The 11,648-nt window shown below is 40.4% G+C and overlaps 1 protein-coding gene across 3 annotated transcripts in view; it reads left to right on the plus strand.

The window, feature by feature from the left end:
• AKAP9 (A-kinase anchoring protein 9) overlaps positions 1–10,540 on the plus strand; it is a 169,812-nt gene extending 159,272 nt beyond the window's left edge. For all 3 annotated transcript variants that reach the window (NM_005751.5, NM_147185.3, NM_001379277.1), the window contains 6 exons: positions 723–923; positions 2,461–2,693; positions 5,545–5,630; positions 7,160–7,289; positions 8,361–8,500; positions 9,989–10,540. In NM_005751.5, the coding sequence (NP_005742.4) occupies positions 723–923; positions 2,461–2,693; positions 5,545–5,630; positions 7,160–7,289; positions 8,361–8,500; positions 9,989–10,026 (828 nt within the window). In that variant the 3' untranslated portion in view covers positions 10,027–10,540. The remainder of the gene's footprint in view (positions 1–722; positions 924–2,460; positions 2,694–5,544; positions 5,631–7,159; positions 7,290–8,360; positions 8,501–9,988) is intronic.

Genomic DNA, 11,648 nt, shown 5'->3' on the forward strand with positions numbered 1-11,648 from the left:
AACTGAATTGAAGTCGTAGTCAAACCAAGATACTTGTATCTCCAAAGCCAGATACTTTGCTACCTAGGGACCAACAACAGATACACGAGATGTTCAAATGTGAATCCTGACTGTTCTCTTCATTTAATTATTAGTTATTGTGTTGATGACTCAATTAAAAGGTTCTGTTAAATTACGTCTTTCAGTCTGAAATTACTCTGAGAATTTACTTAAAATTTTTCCATTTAAAAACAGGTATAAAATTAATTGCTAGTTTCCATAATCACCCAGTATAAAGATAGAAAAGACCTGTAAGACAACTGTGTGGTTAAATACATGATAACACATTTACGTGCCTTTTATAGAAATCCACTTATTATGTACATACTGGCTTGTTTTTTTCCCACTTCTCCAGTACACTATTTCAGGCACAGGCTCAAAATTTGAACCCAAATGGTCTGTTAGGTCTCTTGACTTTTTCAGTTCAAAGCTCTGCTAATCTGCTAAACCTTCCCTGTGGCCAGGCTTTCTCAAGGACTTTTAGTTGTAAAACTAATGTACTTAGCAAAGGACCATGTACTTAAGAGTTAGTGTATATGCGTAATGTCAATTGAGATTGGCTTTGAACTTTGTCTGGGTGGGGTTAGAAAGTTGAGACTGCATCATCATGCAGATATCTTTTTAATATGTTTAGCTCAGACTTTTCTTCAGAGACTTGTGTAAGTAGGCTGTGGTCTTTGCAGTCTTCCAGGTTTTCATTGAATGGTGGTGCCAACATTGAAGCCATCATTGCCTCTGAAAAAGAAGTATGGAACAGAGAAAAATTGACTCTCCAGAAATCTTTGAAAAGGGCAGAGGCTGAAGTATACAAACTGAAAGCTGAACTAAGAAATGACTCTTTACTTCAAACTCTGAGCCCTGATTCTGAACATGTCACTTTAAAGGTAGGAGACATCTCCCATCTAAACATCACAGCTGGTTCTATGTTTTTGCCTTCTTTCATCTCTCACTGACCTTAAATAAACAGTCTAAAGAAATTTAGGGCCTGGCACAGTGGTTCACGCCTATAGTCCCAGCACTTTGGGAGGCCGAGATGGGCAGATCACGAGGTCAGGAGATCAAGACCATCCTGGCTAACACGGTGAAACCCCGTCTCTACTAAAAATACAAAAACAAAAAATTAGCTGGGCGTGGTGGCGGGTGCCTGTAGTCCCAGCTACTGTCCCAGGCAGGAGAATCGCTTGAACCCAGGAAGCGGAGGTTGCAGTGAGCCGAGATCGCGCCACTGCACTCCAGCCTGGGCCACAGAGTGAGACTCCGTCTCAAAAAAAAAAAAAAAATGTAGATAGTATTCAGGTTTTGTCTCTAGGTCTTTTTATTCAGTCTTTGTCATGAATGCAGGTCACAGAGGTTTCTGGAAAGGCATGCCCAGGACTGGGACCAGATTAACCTTTATTAATGGTCACAGTGGCAGCCTGGGCTCATGGTTCCACTTTCCCTGGTTTCATCCCTAATAGACCAAAAGAATGGTATCTTTTCAACTCCTAACAAAAGCTCTACTATTGTCAATGTAAGAACATCATACTCTGTAAAATGGTAAGCCCTCTGAAAAGCCTCTCCGGTGACTAATAATGAATGTTGTTAAAACTACCTTAATCAGTCAACATAAAATTCAAAACAAAAAGAAAAACTTTTGGAACATTTATTCCAGTTTATGACTCTGAAGGGATAGAAAACATTAACATTTAAAAAGTTAGATTAGGCCAGGCACTGGTGGCTCACACCTGTAATCCCAGCACTTCGGGAGGCCAAGGTGGGTGGATCACTGAGGTCAGGAGTTCGAGATCAGCCTGGCCAACATGGTGAAATCCCATCTCTACTAGAAATACAAAAATTAGCCAGGCATGGTGGTGGGCGCCTGTAATCCCAGCCACTTGGAAGGCTGAGGCAGGAGAATTGCTTGAATCTGGGAGACGGAGGTTGCAGTGAGCCGAGATCACGCCACTAAACTCCAGTATGGGTGACAGAGTGAGACTCCGTCTCATAAATTTAAAAAAAAAATAAATAAATAAATAAATAAATAAATAAATAGATAGATTAGTGACCCTAATAAAAATAGCTCTGTACAATTAAAAAAAAAATTGGGATGACAAAAATATTTGCAATTAATATGATTAATGAGGGCTAAAACCTAAAAGAAACAAGAAGCCTAACTATAATATTAGTATTCAGACTCCATTGACTAATAGAGGCAAAAGTGTAAAGGTTAATTTATCTGAAATTTCAACTTTGCTGATAAAGTAGAAAACAGTGATAGGAACCTGCCGTTTTACTATTACTACTACTACTACTACTACTACTACTACTACTACTACTACCACCACCACCACCACTACTTGTTAAAATCTAGGTTATTTTCCCCTAGAGAGCAGGGTGAATGTTTTCTTAATGTCTTTACATTCTTCTCTTCCCTAAATATAGAGAATTTATGGTAAATACTTGAGGGCAGAAAGTTTTCGAAAGGCTCTCATTTACCAGAAGAAATACCTGCTGCTGTTACTGGGTGGGTTCCAGGAATGTGAAGATGCCACCTTGGCCCTGCTTGCCCGGATGGGGGGGCAGCCAGCTTTCACGGATCTAGAGGTGATCACCAATCGCCCAAAGGGCTTCACCAGGTTTCGGTCGGCCGTCAGAGTATCCATTGCAATTTCCAGGTAAAGACTTGAAGGAAAATGCATTTTACTAGTAGACTCTCTAAAAGGATTAGTTATTTTTAATTCTCCCTCTATTCTCTGCTGGTTATACTCTATATTTATATAGTAGGAGGTATGTGCCATCACTGAAGCATGTCTGCTTTTTTTTTCTAGGTTTTCATTCATTTAGCAGGAATACTGGCAGGGTATGTGTAAACTATGAAAAGGGCCTTCCTAGGTCCAGGCAGCTGGTGACTCAGAGCTGGCCTATCCAATCACGGCTGCCTTTTAGAAAACAATCTGGGCCAGGCGTGGTGCCTCATGCCTGTAATCCCAGCACTTTGGGAGGCCAAGGCAGGCGAATCACAAGGTCAGGAGATCGAGACCAGCCTGGCCAACATGGTGAAACCCTATCTCTACTAAAAAAACAAAAAATTAGCTGGGCGTAGTGGCAGGCACCTGTAGTCCCAGCTACTTGGGAGTCTGAGGCAGGAGAATCACTTGAACCTGGGCGGCGGAGGTTGCGGTGAGCCGAGATCGGCGCCACTACACTCCAGCCATGTGACAGAGTGAGACTCTGTCAAAAAAAAAAAAAAAAAAAAAAAAAAGGCCGGGCATGGTGGCTCACACCTGTAATCCCAGCACTTTGGGAGGCTGAGGCCGGCAGATCGTGAGGTCAGGAGATTGAGACCATCCTGGCTATGCTGAAACCCCATCTCTGCTAAAAGTGTACAAAAAAATTAGCCAGGCGTGGTGGCGGGTGCCTGTAGTCCCAGCTACTTGGGAGGCTGAGGCAGGACAATGGCATGAACCTGGGAGGTGGAGCTTGCAGTGAGCTGAGATCGCGCCACTGCACTCCAGCCTCGGTGACAGAGCAAGACTCTGTCTCAAAAAAAAAAAAAAAATCTGAATAAGCCCATGAACAAGCTCACACATGTAAATAAATAAAAGATTATAAAATTTAAAAATGTGGTTGACAAATTACTTCTTAGGCTGGCGTACATTCATTTTCTTCATTGCTAAGATAACCCACTTTTGGTGCCCAGTTATGGAAGGTCCTTTCCTAACTGCATTCAAATCAGAGGTTAGCCTTTAAGGCATTGGATTTTTGCTTTTTGCTAGTGCTTTTATTGTTCTTTCTCTAGTAATTCCAAGCAAAGAACTCTGGTATTCATTCTGTCTGTGATTGACATGGAGCCAAGACTCAAACTACTTTGAGGACCTGGCCCACTACAGTCTTCTGACCTGGTTATACGCATACAAACACCAAGGCTTCTCCATGCATCCCCCTCCCTTTTAGGAGGCAGACAGAATCTTAAAGGAATTTTGCTTTTTAAAGTTATTTCTATCAGGTCACATCTGATGCTGCTTTATTTATTTATTTATTTTTTTTTTTTTTTTTTGAGACAGAGTCTTGCTCTGTCGCCCAGGCTGGAGTGCAGTGGTGCTATCTCAGCTCACTGCAAGCTCCGCCTCCCGGGTTCATGCCATTCTCCTGCCTCAGCCTCCTGAGTAGCTGGGACTACAGGCGCCCACCACCACACCCGGCTAATTTTTTTGTATTTTTAGTAGAGACTGGGTTTCACTGTGTTAACCAGGATGGTCTCGATCTCCTGACCTCATGATCCGCCCGCCTCGGCCTCCGAAAGTGCTGGGATTACAGGCGTGAGCCACTGCACCGGCCTATTTTTCTCTAAAAATATGGCACAGTTTTTTAATTGGAAGCTGTCTGAGATCACCTAGTCCAGAATCTCATTTCACACTTGAGGAAACTGAGGCAGGGAGCGGTTACAAAGCCAGTAGTGATAGAGCTAGGACAACCAGCCCAGTCTCCCAAGTCTCATTCATGCTGGCTCTGGAAACAGGAGCACAAGTTTTATCTTAACTGTGGGCCTTAGACCCTCCTTGCTTCTGATATTCCATATTGTAGTCTCCTGGTTTCATTTACTCTTCCTCACCTTTCATTTCCTTCATCACCTTGTATAGAGTAAACCAGGGTAAGTGCTGGTAGATGCATTGATGAAAAAATATATAATCCTGCCTAAATACCTAAAGGCAGCTCACTTTCTAGTGGGGAAGACTAATATGCACAGAACTTAGAATATAATAAGTAAATGGGAGGTCACAGGAGTTAGCTAGTAATTTTGATTAGAGGGATCTAGAGAGGCTTCATGAGAGCGGTGTAGAAGTTGTTATTGACATACTTCACTCTGCCCCACTTTTTCTTATCCAAGATTATGTTTATCATATTTTGACCCTCCTAAGATGGAGCCTTGGAACTGATTCAAAGTAAATCAAAACTGGTGCTCCAAAAGCTCCTTGGGCCAAGATGGGGAAGAAGGTCGTAACTTGCTGCACCTGGGTCATGAAGCTAACACTCCCATTCCTTTTGAAACCAACGTTTTTTTGTCCCTGATCAAAGGGACAAGAGCTTCACCCACCTTGCAGCATTCCCAGCACATTCTTATTGCCAATTTAAGGGTCTTTTTGTTCTCTTCTTATCTCATCTGCCCTTTATTCTCTGTTCTTTTCTCTTTTCATTACTTCTCACCCTTTCTTTGCCTATCTGCTTTTCCCATCTACTTTTGCCTTCCATCTCCTTATACCCCATTTATCCCTCAAGCTGGAACCTGATGCTGGCAATATAAGAGACCTCTAATGCCTCTTGGGAAGGGGATGAGGGGATTTTGAGTCCCTATTCTTCCGTTCCAGTTGATTTTGTCACAACAGGCATTGACATAGTTTAACTGGGCAATTGTGAAATTTGACATTTGTTCTATGTTCATATTTAAACGTGTGATGTGATTTTTGTAGGAAATGTATATACTGTTTATAGATGGGCTGTGAAATTTTATCTTGGAATCTTTTTTAGAATGAAATTTTTGGTTCGACGGTGGCATCGAGTCACAGGTTCTGTTTCCATCAATATTAACAGAGATGGCTTTGGACTGAATCAAGGTGAAGTCAAAATAGCATATTTTCTTATGTTTATGACTCTCTAAATCAGAGGTCCCCCACCCCCAGACTATGGACCATACTTGTCTGTGGCCTGTTAGGAACCAGGCCGCACAGCAGCAGGTGAGCAGCGGGCATTACTGCCCGAGCTCCACCTCCTGTCAGATCAGCCGTGGCATTAGATTCTCATAGGAGCACAAATCCTATTGTGAACTGCACATGTGAGGAATCTAGGTTGTGTGCTCCTTATGAGAATCTAACTAATGCCTGATTATCTGGGGTGGAACAGTTTCATCCAGAAACCATTCTGGCCCCTTTGGGTCCATGGAAAAATTGTCTTCCATGAAATGTGTCCCTGGTGCCAAAAAGGTTGGGGACTGCTGCTCTGAATTACTGCATGTGTAATACTTACCAAGTAATGAATTCTGGAAGCAATGTTTTCCAAAGACAAAGCCCTTATAACTGCCAAAACTAGGTAACTTCACTGTTTTAAAGAGGGTAATAATAACTGATTTTCATGGAGAACTTAGTCTGCACCTGGCCATGCTCTTTTCATGTATTCTCCCAATCCTATGATATAAGTACAGTTTTACTACTCTCACTTTTAGATGAAAAATCGAGGCATGGAAAACACAAGTCATTTGCCCCAGAATGGCCAGTAGGGAAGTGATGGAACCAGGACCAAACACTGGCAGTCTGGGTCCAGAGCCCACACTCTTCATAACTGCATTTAAGGCACGGTTCAAGACAGGATTGCTGTTAGTCATATGGAAGAATTAGGAAGTTTTCATAATTTAACAATATTCAAACAAGTTTCTGAGTTTACCAACAGGTTGTATAATAATGGTAACAGCTAAAATTCCTTCTGTCTACACCTAGAAGTGGAAACAAACTAGGGCTTGAACATTTCTGGCAATAAAGATGAGGTCCGAATCTGGGGAGCACACAGAGGACACAGCATCCCTGTGCTGTGTATTCATAGTAAACCACCTTTACATACTCTACCAGGAGCTGAGCATCCTACAGAGGGGAAATAGATTTGGTACCCTACACAAAGTATTTTGAAATATCATTACACTGAAACAGCTGAAATTTGTACCATAATAAGTTGTGTTTTATTAAAAGTTAGCAAATCTTGGTTTCAAGTCAGTAGATTGGAATGGTTACATTGGTCTAATATTTTTTATCCACATCATTTCCCACAAGCCACACCCACTCAGACACCCCTCACCTCTCATCTACTTAGAGCTAAGGTCTTTAAAGAAGAAAATATGCCAATTAAATAATTTTCTTTGAGACATAATTCCAGATATCAGAAATACTCATATTCAAAAGTAAACAAAATAACATTTGAAAGCCGAATTTTTGTTTGTACTGTTTTCTCCTTTATCAAGAATAATAGAAAATGACTATAAATAGGAGATTGTATAATATAGTATAATAGTCTTTTGAGCAGTTACCTATTTTGTAGAAATTTTTTAAGGTCTTGGGATTTTATTTTTCTTTACAAGGAATATTTTGGGTTACTTTAGGTGCAGAAAAGACTGACTCATTTTATCATTCTTCTGGTGGGCTGGAGTTATATGGAGAACCAAGACATACTACGTATCGCTCAAGATCAGATCTGGACTATATTAGGTCCCCTTTACCATTTCAGAATAGGTAAGAATATGAGAAAACCTGCCTGGAATTGTTAAATGTATTAATATTTAACAGAGATAAATGGACATTTTTAGGGCTTTGACTTCTTTGCATTGAGATAGACATCTTTGTTATATATAATTTACATAATATGACCAAGTGCGGTGGCTCACACCTATAATCCCAGCACTTTGGGAGGCTGAGGCGGGCAGATCATGAGGTCAGGAGTTCAAGACCAGCTAGTTGGAGACTAGCCTGGCCAACATGGTGAAACCCTGTCTCTACTAAAAATACAAAAAATTAGCCAGGCGTGGTGGCAGGCGCCTGTGGTCCCAGCTACTTGGGAGGCTGAGGCAGGAGAATGGTGTGAACCCGGGAGGCGGAGCTGGCAGTGAGCTGAGATTGTGCCACTGCACTCTGGCCTGGGCAACGGAGCGAGACTCTGTCTCAAAAAAAAATACAAAAAAATTAGCCAGGCATGGTGGTGGGTGCCTGTAATCCCAGCTACTCAGGAGGCTGAGGCAGGAGAATCGCTTGAACTCAGGAGGTGGAGGTTGCAGTGAGCCGAGGTCACGCCACTGCACTCTAGCCTGGGCAACAAAGCAAGATTTGGTCTCCAAAAAAAAAAAAAAAGAAAAAAAATATACATAACCTAAGGCTTAATGTAAAAATGTAAAAACCAGTGTTTAAATTTGTAACTGATTTCCAAGGGTATAGCAAACAAGCTGACCAAGTGTTATTTAGTGTATGCTATGGTTAGATATTGGGAAAAGTATTGACTAAAATTGATACTCTGATCATTATGAAAAGCTTAACAGTCTTCATGACAAGATACATTTATACATACCCAATTTATTGAGACCTCTGCCACAAGCATTGTATTGGACATTCTTATGTTGACTTAGTAGCATCTTTGAATTCATTGGAGAGTTGTCTCTTTCTCATCCCAAGCTCCAAAGCTGAAGCTTGGAGGAGATACATTATGTGTGTACAAGTGACCCACCTTTTTGGGGAAGGGAGTGGAGGCAGGTTGGTAACTTATATGCATATTTCTGGATAACTTGATTCATGTACATATTTTTAATCCTTTAGGTACCCAGGCACTCCAGCTGATTTCAATCCTGGTTCTTTAGCATGTTCTCAGCTTCAGAATTACGATCCTGACAGAGCCCTAACAGATTATATCACTCGGCTAGAGGCACTGCAAAGACGACTTGGAACTATACAGTCAGGTGCTCTGAGTTTAACCACATCTTGGCAGCACCACAGTGCGAGACCCACAGCTCCCCTTTCTTTGAAATTCTTTCACACTCATTAGGATAATCAAAGCTTCCAGTTTAGTGCATGAGCTAATTATTAAGTTAGCCAAAGCTTAAACTCTTGTAACCAGCAGAGAAACTGACTTTAAATAATTTAAGTGAAAATATGATTTATCACCCCAGATCCCACTCCTCCCAAAAATGATTTCCTACTATGTTCATTCAGCGGACTGATGACACAAAATGCACAATGAGCACCAGTGTGCAAGGTACTCTGAGTCTACAGAGCCTAACTGGAGAACGTATTCCTAAGTAGCGCATGGCAGAAAGTGGTAAGGCCGTGCCGCAGCACTCCAGCCTGGGCAGCAGAGCGAGACCCTGTCTCAAAGAAAAAAAAAAAAAAAAGAAAGTGGTAAGGCATGCAAATCGGGTGGAGTTAAGGAGGAAGCACTTACTTTAAGCACTTAATGTAACCATTATCCCTGCTACTATATTGTGCTTTTATGTATCATCGAAAAAAACTATCCCATTTAAAATACTTTGTAAGGATTATTTTTTCTTTGTTCAAAAACAAAAAACAAGTCATACTTTAAAATAAAGGTGGATTCCCTGTTCATGGAAGGAAAACCTCTTTTCCCTATCTCACTTCAGTTCACTCCTGATTCAGAGACTTTGAATCATTGAGTAGTTTATCTCTTCCTTCAAGAAATCATTTGTTTACACCCAAGCATCTTGTAGTAATAGGAAACTTTTATTATCATAGCTGAGTTTGTTGGTTTGCCTAGGCTTGTTTTGTTTTGAGCATCCAAATTTCACAAGACCCAGATTTTGAAGACCAAAAGATTTTTCAAAAATGTATGAGGTATAGAACATCCAACTTTGAGAGCACTTTAAAAAAACTCTAAATATTAGTCTCACCTACCTTGCCATAGAGCCAGTCATGGTGATTTTTACATATATATTCAAAATCTCTTAAAAGTCAGCTTAAGTATATGGGCTGGGCGCGGTGGCTCATGCCTGTAATCCCAGCACTTTGGGCGGCCGAGGCAGGCGGATCACTAGGTCAGGAGTTCAAGACCAACCAGTTCGAGACTAGCCTGGCCAACATGGTGAAACCCCGTCTCCACTAAAAATACAAAAATTTGCTGGACATGGTGGCATGTGTGGATAGTCCCAGCTACTCAGGAGGCTGAGGCAGGAGAATCACTTGAACCCAGGAGGCGGGGGTTGCAGTGAGCCAAGATCACACCACTGAATTCCAGCCTGGGCAACAGAGTAACACTCCACCTTGGGGGTAGTGGGGAGAGACTCAGTTTAAGTATGAAGAGGACATTTTAAGGAAAAAAAGGGCTTTAAAAAAATGGAGAATAATAATAATTTCCTTTGTGTGAACTCTGGTGGGTCTGATACAGGTAGCAATGTAATTTGAAATCAGTTGAATTTCCTGTTTTTCTCTCATAGGTTCAACTACTCAATTTCATGCTGGCATGAGAAGATAATCCTTTGAAACATCATTAATTGAAGTGATTTTAAATAGATTTCCTTTTGTAAATCAATGGTTCTTTTGTGCTTTTGTATTGTGAATATTCAATGGGACCAATATGAACACAGCTTATGATTGTATACAAATCCCTTGCCAGCACATGAAAACAAACTGGAATTTGTATATATAAGCATTGTGTATGTATTCATGCACAATAATTATTGAATTACCTGTATATTTGTGGAATGCTAATTTAAAACATTAAATTATAAACCTTGTGTATTTATCAAATGGGTGAAAAGATTAAACTTTTACGCATTACAATACTGCTGAATGTGTAGCTCGAGGTGTCCTGCACTTTTCTTATAAGGCTACTGAAGTTACATGTTTTGCCTAATATATTCTACTGGTGATGAAGACAGATAATATCACTTGTAGAGACCTATTTTTGTATAATGGTAGAAGTTTTGAATTTTATGGGGTATTTTGTCAAGTACTGAAATAAAAATGACTTCACCATTTTCACCACACTGTATTTGAACCTTCTTCATTTTTAACTGAGCCATAGTTCTTGGTACATAGCATCTCATTACTTATGTCAAATATGTAGGAGTGAGAGATTCAGAGAAAGTTGTCCTAATCTTAGAGTTAATACTGTTGAAAGTTTTCCATGTGTCTTTGTATCAACTTTACATCTACATAGTGTTTTTTAAAAGCTATATTGGTATTTCATGATTAATCAGTATTTACTATATTACAGTTAGTGTTACTTGTTTCCAAAGATGTGTTCTCACAAATCCATGGCCCACTAAAAAGATGAAGAAATCATTAACTCAAAAGATCTTAATCACATTGCAGCCGAATTAAACAGTATCCCTGTTGTCCAAGCCAAATTCAGACTGGGAGGCTCTCACAGAGATAATACAGATCGCAATGTTATTTCTCATCTGGAGTCCTCCTCAATAACATGGCAACTCACTAAAACAGCAAGAGGACTAGTATTTGATGCTTACACCTGGAGGATTTTGTCTTATTATTTGATGTTCCATGATTTATACCAACACAAACAGGCATGGTAGAAAGTTGTACATGCTTGAACATTTCTAATTTCAGTCATCCCTCGGCATGTGTGGGGGATTAGTTCCAGGATCCCCCTTGGATATTACAGTCCGCGAATGCTTAAGTCTCTTATAAAACAATGTGCTATTTGCAGATAGTCTACATACATCCTCCTGTGTACTTCAAATCATCTCCAGATTATTTGATACCTAATACAATGTGAACATTATGTAAATAGTTGCTAATACTGTATTTTTTTATTGTGGGGTTTTATTTTTAGTATTTTGAACCTGCAGTTGGTTGAATCAGAGGATACAGAACCCACAAATAAAAGGAGCCAACTATACTTAAATTTTCCACATTAGAAGCTGGGTTCCAATAAGAGGAATTCTAAAAATAGCAAACGTACTCTAAAGCAGTTAGTTGAAGGGGCAGGTTGTGGGTAAAAACCTTTTTCAGCTAGCATGGCTTGCCATTCAAGGCTATTCTGCTCTAAGAGACAGTGGAGAAAAAAACAGATGGACAAATGATCTGATCAAGCTGAGTTCAGTGCCATTGTTTGACCACCACGCCTCCTTA

The sequence above is a fragment of the Homo sapiens genome, chromosome 7 (genome assembly GCF_000001405.40).
Source record: "Homo sapiens chromosome 7, GRCh38.p14 Primary Assembly".
NCBI lineage: Eukaryota > Metazoa > Chordata > Mammalia > Primates > Hominidae > Homo > Homo sapiens.